Source organism: Homo sapiens, chromosome 7, assembly GCF_000001405.40.
Source record: "Homo sapiens chromosome 7, GRCh38.p14 Primary Assembly".
NCBI classification, from domain to species: domain Eukaryota; kingdom Metazoa; phylum Chordata; class Mammalia; order Primates; family Hominidae; genus Homo; species Homo sapiens.
This window is the reverse complement of record NC_000007.14, coordinates 124,542,786-124,560,878: the sequence shown is the minus strand read 5'-3', so window position 1 is coordinate 124,560,878 and position 18,093 is coordinate 124,542,786.

The window sequence follows — 18,093 nt, the reverse complement described above, 5'->3', positions numbered from 1 at the left end:
GCTATATCATATTTATTCATTATATTTTAAGGATATACTATATGTTATTGGATATAAACTTTATGGATATATCATAACCATTATATGGATATGCCATATTTTATTTATTTATTCATGAGTTGATGGACATTTGGTTGTTTCCACTCTGGGCTATTACGAATAATGCTGCCATAAACAGTACAACTTTTTATGTCGACATGTTTTCAGTTTTCTTGGGTATACAACTAGGAATGAAATGCTGAATCCTATAGTAATTCTGTGTTTAACATTTTGAGGAACTGCCAAACTGTTTTCTACAGTGTCTGCCATTTTACATTCCATTCCTATGAACAATGTATGAGGGCTTAATTCTCTTCATCATTGTCAACAGTTGTTATTGTCTGTCTTTTTTATTATACCATCCTAGTGGGTGTGAAGTGGAATCCTACAGCTTTTTCTAATTGACTAACAAAGTTCAGCATCTTTTCATGTGTTATTGGCCATTTATTTATCTTCTTTCAAGGCATGCCTTATTGGAAAATTTGCCCGTTTTTAATTGGGGTATTTGTATTGTTTAGTTTTAAGAGTTATTTATATATCTGGAAAATACACCCTTAGCAGATTATGATTTACCAATATTTTCCCTCATTCTGTAAGTTGTCTTTTTACTTTGTTGATGATATTCTTTGAAATACAAATGTTTTTAGTATTAATGAAGCTCAGTTTATCTATTTCTTTCTTTTGCCAATTGTGCTTTTGGTTATCTAAAAAACTATTTCCTAACCCATGGTCACAAAGATTTATTGCTGTGTTTGATTCTAAGTGTATTACAGTTTCAGCTTTTACACTTGGGTATATAAGCCATTTCAAGTTAATTTTTATAAATGATGTGAAGTAGGGCTCCAAATTCCTTTTTTTGCACCTGGATATCTAGTTTTCCTAGCATCATTTGTTGAAAAGACTCTTCTTTCCCTATAGAATTTTTTTGGCTTCCTTGTCAATAGTCAAATGACCGTGAATGTTTAGCTCTAGCTTCTGTGTTCGACTTCCTTGATCTATATGTCTATGCTTATACCACACGGCCTTGATTACTTCAACTTTGTAGGAAGTTTTGAAATCCAGAAGTGTGAGTCCTTTGTCCTTTTTCAAGATTATCCTTTTTCACAATTAGCTTGGTTCTTCAAATATCCACTTTCGAATAACCATAGTTTGTTTGTTGGTTATTCTTTCAAGTAAAACTTATGTTCTACAATAGAGGTGGCTAATTTAGCTTTCAACACAATCACGTAAGCGTTTTTCCTGGAGATAACCATTGCATTTCATAATATGTAGCAGAAGTGCTTTATACTTACTTATTTTATTACATAGAATATTAAAAGATATGTACTCAAAGGTTAATAATTGATAAACTTAATAAATTATAGTGCTTTATTAAAATATTTTTAAGAGAAACTTTTAAATGTGTGACAGTGAAGAGCACAATGACTACTAGTATGTTTTGGTGCCACTGACTCGATTTCTCTTAATAACGGCACAAGCAGTGTTACCCACCACTGATTTTGCATGATCATTTTAAATGGTAAAATGATGAAAAAGTAAATTTTTTTCAGCATATATATGATAATATCAAATGTGATTTAAAAAATTCTGTGATGTGTAAACTTTTAAAATGGGATTTTACTAGCCCCATAACATCAGAAAAATAACATCTAAAAATGTTTTTATTATATATACTTAAGGTGTGTGACATGATGTTTTGATATACTAATGTTGATACACATGTGCACAGTGAAGTAATTACTACAGTCAAGCAAATCAACATACTCATCATCAAAGTTTAACTCATGTTTTATCACATGTATTTTTAAAACTACCCACACTAAAAACAGTTGTCCAACTAATCTTGTCATAGTTATAAATTTTTAACTCTGATAAAAAATATAGTTGTTATTATTGGTGCTCTTATAACCTGGATAAGGATACTTTTTAAGTCTTTTAAAATATTTTTTGAATTGTAATAGTCTATGATTGTATAATAAAATATTTTCTACATGCAACCCCATATGTGGTTCCAGCATTTGAGACAGCGTAAAACATTTGAGACAAAGTATCCTTTCAATGAAATTTACAATTTTTCAACTAGTAATTACCAAATGCCAGAATTAATTTTTCTCAGATAATTATTCTTTTAGCATAGTTGACAATCCCAGGCATTTAACTCATTCATTAAAATGCAATAATAATTTCTCCAATGGTTTTCAGTATCGCTAATGACATGCGTTATTATGCATCACTAATTTCCACGAAGAACAATAAGATACTATTTTATCGGTATTTACATTTACAGGACTATACTTTGTTGCACACTTATGAGGAAATGACAGAAGAGCCTAGATGGAATTAACCTCAGGGTTTGCTTTTTTCTTAAAGAGTAAATATCTTGCTATATCGGTAGTTGATGTTAGAGTCACTACTGAATATTTTTATTACTGTGTAATTTTCATTATATTAGAACAAATGTATGGCTCATAAGTACAGTAATTTACTAAAGTGAATATATATGATGATAATTATGAGTAAATTTGGAACTAAAAAATTTAAAGTATTTCAAATTTAAAGTTTAAAGAAATTGTTCAGATTAAATGCTCTGAAGTTTTTTCTTTGATACTTTGCATTTGTTGTCACTGTTACCTTCTCCAGTTACTACTTATTAATTTAAAAACAAGTCAATTAACTTACTGAACTACCTACTTTAATTTCTTTCCTGTGTAAAATGTTTTATAGTGCTGGTGTTTCAGTGTTTACATTAGTACTCACTAAAATAACAACTACTTTTGATAAAGGTAAATCTCAGAAAACAAAGCAAAAGAATTCAGCTTTTCTCATTTTTATCTCAAAAAGTTATTTTCAGTTTTTTAAGCTAGAAATTGAGAATGAATACAGTACCTCAGAGTTTAAAGCTGAATCTCCAGCTTTTTTTTAAATCAAAATGTTCACATATGCTCATTAACTGAAACACTCATTCAGTTGGAAAATCACTAGTTGGCATGAAAATGTTTTATCAGATAAGGTGGACTTTATTCAAAATGATATGATTTCTCTTTAAGATTACAGGTTCTATTGCAAAGCCAGGCTATTTTAGCCCTGTTTGTAGGAAGCAACAGTGACATGCAGGGCCTATTAGCTTAAATCACAGATGTGTTTGCCTTAGGGAAGTAGCAGTAGCCTAGTTTTCCCCATAAAGGTGACAGCCAGGATTCAAATTATATTTAATCCAAAGCCACAACTCTTCTAATTCTAGTAGTTCGTGATTAAATAGGAATATAGGAAAGAGGAAAGGGAGATTGTACCTATAAACATTTAATGTCTGCATCTTTTTTCTAAGGCTACAATATTAATTCTGTGTATTGCTGAGGACTGGCTCGCTCTAAGCTGACATCATAAGCAACACATTTGTATGGGACTCGAAAATTTCATTTGCATCAGTCGTCAACACGTGGTTGCATAACGAGGGTGGGTATTTTTCAGGAAGAGAACACACATTTAATTTGACATTTTCTTGTTGAACTTGAGGCAGCCAGCTTCCCTGGTTTTGTTCCATTTTTCATCCCACCAAACTTTCCCTCCTACTCATCAAATAATCATGGCATTCTTCACCACAAAACATAGGCAGATGGGTTCTTGTGTCATTATTTGTAATCCAATTGAAAAGATCTGTTTTTGCTTCTGGCCCCCATTCCATAGTTCTCCAAAGTCAACATTCAGTTCTTCAGATTTACAAACTTTCTTAGTGATGAAATGAAGCTTATCAACAGCATTTTTTTTTTTGCAACTTTCTCATGTACTTTCTAGTCCTGCATAATTTGTGGGTAAAAGTAATTCATATAAAGTGTTGGAACTCTTGCTTAATTCAATAACAGTAGCACAGTTCTAAAATGTAAAGTACCAAATAAGTGCTATACAATAAGAGCAATTTTACTGGAGTCATCTACTCTTTCCCATAAATGTAAATGCTTCGTTTTCTAAGCATGCATTTAAAGATCATTTGTGTGCTTTCTATTTATGCAATACCATTTACTCTGAATTACCTCCTAACTGGATTATTTCTCATTTTCTTTTAAAAATTGCTTGAAGCATCTAAAAAATACTGTGTTAAGACGTCATTCTTTAAGAGTAGCTATAAGAATTTCTTGGAAATGTTTGTCTCAGTATCCAGGTTACATTTTTTCCCCCTATTGCTATGTTCCAAATTATTTGTCAATAAAGAGAAGGAAATACAATATTTTGTCTTTAAACTGCCCAATCAGTATTCAAGTACCCAAGCCTTTTTATTTCTTTTAACCTATAAAAACTACGTAAATCTAATGAGTACAAAATAAACAGAGAGCAAGTCCTGCTGGACATATGACATATGGGAAAATATGACAAAAATAAAAATCAATTTAATGCAAAGGAGCATTTTCTCATTCAATGTATTAATGCAAACCCTCATTATTTATCCTGGGGAACGTGACGCTGTCTTCAAAGTTGATGGCAGTGGATTACACTTAGTTAAATCTTTGCATAACTATGTATCTAGATTTTTAGCTTTACTGTAATGAAATTTATATTCTATCTTTGGCAGACATTCTAGCCTGATTTTATTATAAATTTTATATATATATCCTAGTGGGGAAGGGAAAAGGGAAGGTGAAAATTATATAAGGAAATCAGTTTTTCTAGCTCGTTAGCTTGTATTTATACCTTGCCCTTGGTCTACCATCTTCTTTTTATCTTTCCAATCCATCCATAAAAATAACTTGGAAAAAAAGTGCCTCATAAGAAATACAAACTTTACAGAGACAAGCAAAAAAAACATTGAAACTTACCAGTGTGTAATTTTCACCAGAGGACAAATACCCCATAACACTCTTTCAGACAGATAAACAAAATGCTGGTTATTATCGTCTAAATTGCCTACTGCATACACAGCACAGTGTATGGGAAAAGTTAATTCTAAAAAGGCAAAAAAAAATCTCTGCTTCAGAGATTTGACATTCTAAGAACAATTTGACACAAGTTATTTTTGATAGATAAATGATAAAAATGAGGTAGAAGTGACGTAAAGATTTTGACTTAACTGATAGATTTTTCTTTAAACGGATTATTATCTAGCATCGTGTAGTGAAAGATTCATCTTACTTGGGATTAGGAAACTGCTGATTTTGACTCTGGCTTGATTGGATGTGACCTTGGTTGTGTCACTGAACATCTCTAGGCCTCAAATTTATTGTCTAAAGAAAACAAAATTGATTGAATAATCCTGAATTCATAGTGATTAATCTGTATTAGTTCCTATGAGGAAAAAGTGTTCTTTTATGGACAAGTGTTTTCATATTAAAATGTTTAATGACTTCTTTTCTATCATATCTCTTTAATTTCTGTCTGGTACTTAAGATTCTTATATGTATAACATATACAATACATATTTATGGTTTTTTTTTTTAAAGTGAGCAATTGATTTTTTTCCTACATGGTTAAGCACTTCTCAGGATATCTATTTCTCACAGCACTCTGAAGAATTATAATTGTGCCCATTTTTTCAGGTAAAGTCTTGGAGACACAGATTTAGTAGTAGTAGCTAACTCAGGGTCAGGTAGATAGTAAATGGGAAACTGAGATTCAAGTCCAGACAGTCCGACTCTGCACTCTAGTGTTACAGCATTTCTGATTTCACTGTACTCTCAATATCTTTCTAAAACAGAGGTCTATGTGTTCATTCCTGACTGCAAGTCTACATCTTATTCACCACCCTGAATGCCTTTCTCACATATCTTTTCTCTAGACTTCAAATGAAACATTGCTCTGATTAGCACTAACTGATCAGAAGTTTATATCAGAAAGGAATCCTATGGCTCATCATTGTACAAATGGCAGTAGCTCCCACTACGTTTCAAAGTCCTGACTGCTCATCAGAGCACCTGTGCTATGCCATAGGCTCCTCAGTTTACATTTCATTTTTCCCCACATTTGCAATGTCCCTGTATTCCCTTACAGATAAATGTACCATTAAGAGTCTCCAAGCAAAAATTTTGGAGGAATTCTATATCACCCCCTCTCCCTCATTCTCTGTACCCGTTTTCCTCCTTTCTCCTAGTCATTGACCTTAGTCCTCCTCATTTCTCATCGGGATTATCACTATCACCGCCTTCCTATCTGCTCCCTGGGCCTCCTGCCATATCCTATTCCAGTACATCTAGCATAAATATGATACAGTAATCTTATCCTTCAGTTCTTCTCCATTGTTTTCAGCATAAAGTCAAAACTCTTTATTATAATTGCTAACGCCTTTCCTGATCTCCCTCCCTACTTTTTTCTTCTCCTGACGCTTTTCACCCTAAGTGAGGTTCAGCAAACTTTTCCAAGTCTTCCAGCCCTTCCTCTGCATTCCTTCACTAAAATTAACAGGTAGGGCACGTTCTCTCAATGCTTAGGGCCCCAACACCTAGCCAGTTTAATACGATAGTTAAGAACTCAGACTCCAAAGCTACACAGACCTGGTTTAAATCACTGATCCATCACTTACTAGCTTATTTGGGTGAATTTAGGCAAGTAATGTGACCTCCTTGAGACTGGTTCATCAAATGGGGATAATAAAGGGCTTACCTCGCAGAGTTGTTAGAAGGATTAAATAATTAATATAAAGCCCTTGTTATGATGCTTGGAACATACAGTAAGTGCTTATGATGAATGTTGATACTACTACTAAAGCAATGCGTTGAATTCAATAAAATAATAAAATATATAAATGCATTAAACATTAATGAATGAATAATGTGTATGGAATTACATCATGTACAGGAGCATACAATGTGTATAGGAATTTCTGTAGAGGAAGAGATAGATATTCTGGGTCAGAGATGGAGAGGTCTAAGGATGAGGCCAGGTATCTAAGCAAAAAAATTTCAGATTTTGTCAATTTTCTGTCTTAAAATTTGTTCCATAGTTAATATTAGTTTAGTAAAAAAGGAACAATCCCAAGCTTGTTTGGGGTCAGGCTTTCGTTTTACATTTCCGTTGCCAAGTTCTTGCCCCAAGAGAGGTACTTTTTACTACTTCCAAGATCGTAGTCTTTGTTCATCTCCAATGAATTAGAATAAGCACAGTGTGCCTTCTATTGATAGAGCCATCTGAGATTCCTGGCCTGGAGGGACACGGATGAAGGAAAGCTGGTGTCAGCACATTTAGGGCACATCAGGGAAAAATTGAGCAGTGTGCAGAGGGTGTGCAATTACTTGCTCTCATTAGATACTTGTTAAATGTTTGCATGCTTGCCAGTGGCAGAGATGGCAAACTTCAAGTAATTAATTGGGCAAAAAAATTTTATCATCACCCACAGTTCTATAAAAGTTAATCTTTAATATTTTCCTTTCTGAATGACTTTACACTTAACACCCTTGGTCACGAGTCAATGTCTGTGTATAGTCAGAATTTGGAGTCCTCAGCAGATGAAATGACAGGGATTAACACTCATTCCTCTAAGTGGCAAAGTAGAAACAGCAAGATAATAGTAACCAACATATTTAAATTCTTCCTAACTTACCCTGCATATTCCTATATGTGATCTCATTTGGGCTGTTGTTTATATAAGACCTCATATGGGTAGTGTGGGTATTTTTATTACTCTTTTACACATTTGGGATAAACAAGATAATAGACTGTCAGTTAATTGTTCAAATTCACTTAGTAGTAAATGGCATTCTTAGGGTCACTTACAGGTACTCTATTGCCTGCTCTTCCCTGCTCAACTCCAAACCATCATGGTGGGCGATTTTATAATGGATGTATAAAATGAAGAGGTGAGAATTATTTAGTAGAACTATTTAGTAAGATTGGGAAAACAGAAACATTCCCCTAAACTCCACTCACCCACCTAGCCCCTGGTAACCTCTACTCCTACTAGTTCAACTTTTTTATTGCTCCACATGTAAGTGAGATCACGTGGTATTTGTCCTTCTGTGCCTGGCTTATGTCATTAATGCTCTTTAGGTGCATTCATGTCACCAATTACAGGATTACCTTCTTTTTTAAGGCTGACTAGCATTCCATTGTGTACATACACCACATTTGCTTTATTCATTCATCTTATTTTCTAAAGTCATAATGTGAGTAGTTGTGGTCCTCTGAATTCTGCATATCTTACTTGCCTTTCACCTTTAGTGGTATATTCAATACCTACTTTAAACATCTGTCACGTGCTGGGCTCTGTAGTAGAGTCTAGAGGCACAAAGATGAATTTGAAATATTCCCTGACCTCACCATTGGTTAAGAGACATATCAATGTAGTTTCTAAAAAAAGGGAGATGAGTAAATTAGTGGTTGCATCATTGCTTACTCCTTTCAAGAAAACTTGGGTCTCTCTGTCCACTAGAAACAACGATTCCTCTAGGGAGCAAGGCCACAGCTGATGCTGGAGAGGCATTAGAAATTCCCATGCCTACACTCCATCCAATAGACTAAAGAGGTTTAATCCCGTAGCAACCTTGTGATAAATGTAACCTATTATGACTCATATTATTATCTTTGATCACCATCCAGTATATAAACTCCTCTGGCATCTGCTCTTTCCTGCAGCCTTACTCTTAGGAACTTTTAGGCTTCCTACCCATGATCAGTCCTTATGCTGTTCCTCTTCAACTGCCCCCTGGACTTGATGTCTGTAGTCTCCTCTTAGAAACTCTCTGTTCATAGCTAAACTTGTCTGTATTTTCTCTAACTGGTGGTCTTAATTGAAACTGAGACCTTCATTATGACAGCCCTTCTGCCATGTAAATGGGAAAATCTAGTATCAAGAAGGAGGCAATCATAAGAGTTTGTGTGGGTTTATGGCTCAACTATGAACATTCTAAAAAATAGTTATTTGTCTGGCATTGCTTTTAGAAGTCAAAGGGAAACTGAGAAACTTCCCCAGATATGTTTCCATTGATCTTGAGGTCTATCAGTAGTAAGCCTCTGACACCTGACCATATCTGCAAGTATCAGACCTTTAAAATAAGAGCAGAAGAATAAACCATTGAGTCAGGTCCAAGCTGTTCTTTACAATCCAGCTTTCTTTCTCTGATGAAGGATGTGTCTATCTTGCCTTAACATCATCTCAATTTTTAAAAATAAATTTCATATAGCTTTGTTTCCTACCACAACATATTCTCTTTTTTTCTGGTTTGTGAATGTTTCTATATTTTTAAACTTAATTACATTTTTCACCTTTGTAATCTATTTTTCACTTCTACTACCACATGAAGTAAAAAATTTACATCTGCTTCTGCTGGGTAAAGTACTAAAAGAAATGTATTCTTTCTCATAAATGAGTAATGAGGTATTCTGATTATCAAAAAAAGTCATGCTATGCACATTCACAAAATATGGCATAATAGAGTGTACCTAATAATAATCTTGTTCTTTTTTATAGCAGCTTAACTTTAATAACATACAAAAACTTTGCTCCTTTACAGCTTCTTTTTCATCTCTTTCAATTGTCAATATCACGAAATGATGTTCATACATTGCGTACCCCAAAACATAAGCTAATAATTTTTTTTGTAATTTTTTTTTGCATTAATCTCTTAAATTATGTAGAGAACAAAATATGAAGTTACAAATTAATGTTATAATACTAGATTTTGATCTAATAATGTTTTAATGTATTAGTCTCTTAAGTCATGTAGAAAATGAAAATGTAGCTACAAACCATTATAATAATACTAACTTTTATAATTGTCCAGGTAATTACATTTATTGAGATCTCTATTTCTTCATACAGCTTTTAGTCTTGTTCTAAGTCTAATTTATACCTTCTTTGGATGACTCAAAAGGCAATTCACTATCATACAGCAATATCAGGGATAACGTGGCTTATTATGGTAAATATGCAGAAGTGTCAACTAACAGAGATTTCAGATTCTCTGAGAAATATGCTTTGTGTTTAAGTGTAAAAATGTATGTTAATGTAAAGTACTTTATACATAGAATTATATAGGCTGTTTTTAAGAAAATGAAAGAAGTAAAAGTCTCACGGTCATTTTCTTGAACTGCAGAAACTTCTTGATGAAAATAAATCAGTAGTCTGTTTTCTGGATTTCATTAACTTCTTTCAAAGATGATATTGTTTTGCCTAGGCCATCAATATAGTCTTTAATTTGGCCTCCCATGTGCCAAGACAGAGCATCGAAGCAGAAAACACTTGAGCATTGAAATCATAACCCTGAGAATGAAATAAAATCTTCTACCACTTAGCAGTTTGTGACCAAGGATAATTTTTTTAAAAAACATTTCCCAGTTTTAGTTTCCTAATCTGCAAAATGGAGATAATTTTTACCACATTGAGGTCTTGCATGCAATCCATGGGACAATTTAGGTAAAGCATTTAGAATTGTTCCTGGCACATGCTCTATGTTTAGCAAATGCTTTCTGTTAATATTATCCATTTTTAAGTTAAAATAATAGTTCATAGATGAGGTCCTATTAGTTTCAAGATTTAGTGAACCCATCTTTGTTGACTTAAAATGGACTATATCATCTCTTAATGGTTGTTTTTTTTCCAGATGGGAGAGGCCTAATCCCTTTAATCTTTGCTCATCATCATCTCATTGTGGATGCAGCATCTGGCAGCTTAGGGCATGATGAAATACTGTGGAGGTGGAGGGAGGATTCAGTGTTGCCCTAGCCTCTCAGTTGGAAAGTTCTCTCTCTGATTCCGAAGTGAAAGTCAGCTTTCCTGTATCTTCCTTTCAATTTTCCTACTCCTGCTTCCTGGGCTGCATAGAATGTGTAATCATTCTGATCATTGGACAAAGCTTCTAACATTTTAAAACAGAGATTTGTTTCACATAAACATCTCTTTTCATTTCAACATCCCTGGTTCCTACAAGCTTTCCTGATAACTGTTTCCAAACATTTGTCATCCTGGTCACCCTCTTTTGTTCTTTGTGCCCTAAAGTGTTCTTGGAGCAGAACATGCTGTTCTAGATATTTCAAAGAATTGTGAATTTCTCTTCTTGTAGACACTATGTTTCCATTAATGCAGCATGAGATTGTACTCATTTAGGAAAAGCCTTGCTATGATAAGGCTTGAACTCAATGACAGTATTTGAATTTTTTCCTTCAAACAACCTGTTAAATAGGTTTCCTTGGTCATATAATTGTACTGATGGTATTTTGAACCTAATTCTAGGACTCTTCATTTCTATCTGCCAAATTTTACGTTATTACTTTCATCTAACTTCTTCAGTATATTCAGAATTTTCTATCATTGTTAGTATTTTATCTCAGCATTGAGGCATTTGATAATTTAATAGGTATGCCTCAATAGACAATATATAATAATGGGATCCTTATTGATAAAGAAGTTTATTACAGTAAGGCTCAATACACAAATGGCTGACATGCTGGACCCTTTGTTCATGTTAGAAATGAACAATAATTGTTCATTTTTAGTCTCTAGCCTTATCTTACCTCTTTCATGGTTAACAATTATTCTAATTGGGTGATTTACTGAATGAGACCAGTGAGTGTTTCATCATTCTATGATGTAAATCATCCAGGACTGTAATGCTGGACTCATACTCATATAAAGCATGTATGTATTCTCTTACCATTTCTACATGTTTTCTCATTTTCAAAGTTTTGCTTTGAACACACACACACACACACACACACACACACACCCCACATATGCCCCTCTTGTTTATTTTTAAATTTTTAAATTTTTATTATCTTATTTTATAATTTTTGTAGGTACATAATAGATGTATATGAGGCTGTGTCACTTTTTTTGTTTGTTTTTTTTGGAGACAGAGTCTCACTCTGTTGCCCAGGCTGGAGTGCAGTGGTGCCACCTTGGCTCACTGCAACCTACACCTCCCAGGTTCAAATGATTCTCCTGCCTCCAATTCCCAAGTAGCTAGGATTATAGGTGTTTGCCACCAGACCCAGCTGATTTTTGTACTTTTAGTAGAGACAGGGTTTTGCCCTGTTGGCCAGACTGGTCTCAAACTCCTGTCCTCAAGTGATCTGCCCACCTCGGCCTCTGAAAGTGTTGGGATTACAGGTATAAGCCATTGCATCTGGCCCACCCTCTTGTTTATATAAGATTGGTATCATATGTAATATGGTTTGGCTCTGTGTCCCCACTCAGATCTCAACTCGAATTGTAATCCCCATGTGTTGGGGGAGGGACCAGAAGGGAGGTGATTGGATCATGGGAGTGGTTTCCCCCATGCTCTTCTCGTGATAGTGAGAAGGTTCTCATGAGATCTGATGAGAATATAGACATGAAAGATACTAAGGTAGAGCACTGGAAGATTCTCTGAAGACATGGATTGGCAGGGAAAGAAGACCTGACATGGACATTTTACTGGTCCCTAATGAAACAACAGCCTAATGACTTTAAATTGCTGTTCACCACACAAAACCTCCAACCTGTTTTTGTTGGGTTTGTTGTTGTTGCTGTTGTTGTTGCCTTTTTTTTTACATTTGAAGAGGGGTGAAGGTAACCTGACCTCGGAGAAAACCTGCTTCTAAAAAAGCTTCATTCAAAGCAAGGGAAAGGGAATTTGGAAGAAATAAAAGCAATGCAGATAGAGAGTGAAAAATATAAAAATCTATAGATGTAATTAATAATGTATTCTTTAAAAAGCATGTTATATTCCAAAAAAAAAAAACATATAAAGAGTGAGAAAGAGGTCTTATCAATTAAAAATATAATAAAAACAAAACATTTTGTAGAAGACTTGTGATACAAAGGGCAATATCTCCCACACAATAATAAAAAAGTCAAATAAATGTATAATGAATTACAAAATATATAATCATGACAGTAACAAGCCAGAAGGTTTAATCTCCAACTAACAGGAAATCCAAAGAGATAATGGAGAAAAAGGAGAAACAATCAGTGGTTAAATAAGTAATACAAGAACATTTCTCAGAACTCCAGGAGGCATATTTTCAGATTCAAACATTTTATTTATAACCCAGCATTATGAAAAATAAGCAACACAATATGGCACATCATTGTGAAATTTTAGGCCATAAGATATAAATGATGCCGAGAGGGAAAAATAAAGGCCATATACCCAATGTAAATTTAAGAATATTACAGTAGCAAGAAAAGAGGAAATCACTTTAAAAGGCTGAAGGAATTCCTTACAGCTAAAGGATCATAACAAAGAATCTCAAAAGAACTTTTTTATCATTTCATGGCAGAAAAGAACACAAATACGTGAATAATTTATCTATATAATATCTATTGCACCTATTGCAAAGATGGAAAAGGTTTTGAAGCAAGTAATGTGGGCACAATTTTCAGCTAAAGCACAAGGATTTTGTTACATCTCTGTGGAATCTTACACTTGTTAAAAAGGAAGTAGGTTCTGTAGGCAACCAAATGATTTATTAGCTGAAATTCTGCAAGCAGATTTTTATTGGCAAGGAGAAAATGAGAAAAATAAAACTATCATCTATCTATCTATCTATCTATCTATCTATCTATCTATCTATCTATCTATCTCTCTGTATCATCTATCTTCATTATCATCATCTGTATCATCTATCATCATATGTCTATCTAACCCAACTTATATATAATTCAGCCATCTAAATGATTTTTGAGGAGTGATTTAATTTAGGAAGGGTAAGTTGCCTTTGTTTCCTCTAAAAGTTATTTGAAAAAGAATACTAATTTTTCAACAATACATTTTGAAGGAGTTCAGCAACAATTTAGTATCTTTATTTCTTCTTTTTATTTATTTCTTCTTTTGATTTCTTGATATTATGCTCCCATGCACTTTCAATGAAGAAATTATGTGAGGGTGTACAAAATGAAGAAACAATGATTTAGTTTGTATCTCTGTATCAATGGTCTGGGTTAATTTCCTGCAGGCCAGTATGCTACACATGTGCTCCATCAAATTTTTTCATCTTTACCATTTCAATGCAGTATAGTTTTGATTTGCATTTCTCAAGTTATCAGTGAGGTTGAATATCTTTTAATACTTTTGAGACTCACTTTTATTTTCATTTATGTGAATCTGTTGTTTCTATTGTTTTATTCTTTGTTTTTATGTTAATCATTTATTCATTGCTTATATTTTTGAGTCTCTGGCCCTTTTCTTATTGATTTGTAGAAACTTTTTCTATTAGGAGAGCACCCATATTTCTGCAAATATTATTACTGTTTGTCAGCTTTCTCTTTTACTCTGTACTTGTTGACTTTGCCATCAAGATTTTAAAAATATATTATATATTCAAATATATCAATCATTTACAAATGTTTCCTAAGCTTTTTATTACAGTTAGAAAGGCTGTGAAATCTAGAGAATTATATAAAAAGTTCAGTTATGATTTCTTCTAGATTTACAAATTTTCATTTACTAAATGTACATACATATTTATTAGGGATATTTCCTATTGTAGTATGGGAGATACAAATCCAATTTTAATTTTTTCAAATTAGATTCTACTAGAATTTACTAGTTCCAATATTACTTATTGGATAATCCATCCCTTTCCCCTGCCACACACTGACTTGAAGCACCAACTTTATAATACACTTAATTCCTGTAGGAATTTGGATAAATATCTAAATTTTCTCATAAGGGATTCTGCCCTATCAGTTTCAAAAATGGAAATTCCCCCCTACATATGAGAAGGATGTTTGTGGACACTGTTCCTTCATGTCCAACTTTCATTTCTCATTAATAATCTTTGACAATCTTTTATAGCAGCTTCCACTAGAATAGAGATAACTGGTTCAGAAATGTTGAAGACTCACCTATAATTAGCTATAGTTTTGTATATTCTCTACCAGCCAATATGAGATTGTAAAGACAGCTTCTAGGTACATCACATCATGGGATAAGTTAACCAGGTATATTAATGTATACATTTTCTCAGATATTGTAGATTCCCTGGAAAAGGTTTTACTACGTATATCTCTTCTAACTTACACTTTGAACTGAAAAGGTAAGCTATTCAATATGTAATGTTGTGCCAGGTGGGTGGTGGTTAATGTTACATATCTGTAAGAAATCTGAATTTTAAAATATTTGTAGGTCCACATTCAAGTATTTGAACTTTGTTACATACAGTTATCTGGGAAAAGTCCTTGTCTAAAGAATGAATGGGAAGATGGCTACGTTTATCTCCAAAAAAAAAAAGGAAGATTTCTGATGAACTTTCAATCTCATATGCTGGAAAAGCTTATCCTAATGATTTTGATTGCATTATCTGGTAAGCTAGATGTAATTAATTTTAACAGGTAAACTAAGTTTAGTAAGTATTGCTTTTCTTAACGTGCCTTTTCTGGAGAGAGAGGGTACATGTATATTTTATGGTCACTTGGCAAATAAATATATAAAAATAAAACTTGACTTTTCAGTCCAGGCTTTCATATATATTTTTTCTATGACTTCAAACATTTCAATATACTTGTTCTAGAAAGAAGTAGATTTTCTAAAACATTAGTTATTTATTTTTATTATGTGATTCCATTATACTTAAGGAGATGTAGTGGGAAATGCAGTATTATGAAAACCAATGAAGAGTAAATGGAGAATTTGTGTGTTTGCAGTGTTGAAACGTGAAAAATACATTAGTATTTTTTTAATCAATAAGAAAGAAGAAGGATAAGTATGGTTTTAGAAAAATAAACTTAGAGGAACTGTGACATGCAATTATGAGTATCCGTACAAGCTTTTACTAATGAACTTGTGAACAGGACTCCAGAGAAAAACACATTTTTTTTTTCTTTTTTGAACCGTTAATGGCACTGGACATGTTTTAACTACATTGCCATGTGATTTAGTGATTTACAAATCAAAAATGATGAAAAACTTGGCCGGATGTGGTGGCTCAGCCTGTAACCCCACCACTTTGGGAAACTGAGGCGGGCAGATCATGAGGTCAGGAGTTCAAGAACAGCCTGGCCAACGTGGTGAAACCCCGTCTCTACTAAAAATACAAAAATTAGCTGGGCATGGTGGCGCATGCCTGTAATCCCAGCTACTTGGGAGGCTGAGGCAGGAGAATTGCTTGAACCAGGACCCAGGAGGTAGAAGTTGCAGTGAGCTGAGATTGCGCCACTGTGCTCCAGCCTGGGCTACAGAGTGAGACTCCGTCTCAAATAATAATAATAATAACTTTCTGGTACTGTCATATTAGAGATGAAGGGAAGTAGTTATAAGGGAATGAAAATTAATAAGACTGTTAATAATTTGGGAAACATAATTTCCTATTAAGGTAAAATAAACCTTTATATGCAGGACACAGGACATAAATGCAAATTCTAAGAAACTTTTTTGTTTGTACTCGCCAAAAACATATGTTATAACTTTAATACTAAATATATCATCCATATTTATTTTCAAAAGATAAACATACTCAGATATTTTCAAACACCCACAAGCATTGTAAGATCAAGTATTAAAATTATATAGTTTATGAGCCAATACACATTCAACACACTTTACCTATAGCATTTAATTATAGATACCATTTTTAAAATTCACATTCCCACTAATAGTATACAAAGGTTTCTATTTCTCCACATCCTTGCTAACACTTACATTTTGTTTTTTTGTGTGTATTTTCTTTGTGAATAGCAATCCCAAAAGGTAGGAAGTAATATCTCATAATTTTGACCTGTATTTCCCTGATAAATAATGATGTTGAGCATCTTTTCATATACTTGTTGGCCATTTATATGTCTTCTTTGGAGAAATGTCCGTTAAAGTCTTGTGCTCATTTTTTAATTGAATTGGTTTTGTTTGTTTATTTGTTTGTGCTTTTGGGTTGTATGAGTTGCTTATATTTCATAAATCAACCACTTATCAGATACGTAATTTGCAAATATTTTATCTCATTCTGTAGTTTACCTTTTCATTCTGTTATTTTCTTTGCTGTGAAGGTTTTTGTTTGTTTATTTCATGTAATCCCTCTTTTCCATTTTTGATTTTATTGCCTATGCTTTTGTTGTTGTGTCTGAGAAATCAATGCAAAGACCACACTCAAGAAACATTTCTTCTATGTTTTCTTTGAGTAGTTTTATAGTTTCAAGACTTAGGTTTAAGTCTTCGATCTATTTTGAGTTTTTTTTTTTTTTTTGTAGATTATGTAAGATGGTCAAATTTTATTTTTTTTTACGTGAATACCAGTTTTCCCAACATTTGTTGATGAAACAAACTTTCTTTTCACCAGTGTATACTATTTTTGGCACCCTTGTCAAATGGTGCTATAGCTATGGAAAACAGTATGGCAGTTCCTCAAAAGTTAAAAATAGAGCTGCCATATGATTGATCAATTCCACTTCTGAACATATATCAAAAATAATTCAAGATTATCAAATCAGGATTTTGAAGAGAATTATGCAGCATTATTCACAATAGACAAGATACCAAAACAACCCAAGTGTCTACTATCAACAGATGAATAGATAAAGAAAATGTAGTATATCCATTACAGTGAAAGAAATTCTGTTACTTGCAATAACATGGATGAATCCTGAGGAAATTATTCTAAGTGAAATAAGCCAATCACAGAAGGACAAATATTGCATGATTCCACTTATATGGACATCTGTAATAGTCAATCTCAGAGAAGCAGAGAATACAATAGTGGTTTTCAGATGCTTGGGGTGGAGGAAATAAGAAATTTTTATTCAACCTGTATAAAGCTTCAGTTATGCTAGGTGAATAAGTTCTGGGGCTCTGGGGTACAATGAAGTGCCTGTAGTTAAGAGTACAGTACTGTGCACTTTAAAATTTGTTAAGATAGGTTTCATAATAAGTGTTCTTACCACTCAAATAAAAAGAAAGGAATAAAGCAAACAAAGAAAAAGAGAAAGGAAAAGAAAGGGACAAAAGGAAATTTTGAGAGTTGTTGGATGTCTATTACATTGATTGCAGTACTTGTACCATGAGTATTTGCTTATGTCCAAACTCATCAAATTGTACACATTAAATATGTGCAGTTTTTGTATATAAATTATACCTCAATAAATCTGTTCAAGATAAATAAAATGCAGGCACTTTATATGAGAAGCTTAGGCACATTCACTAATTACTCAAGAATTTTGGAAATGGA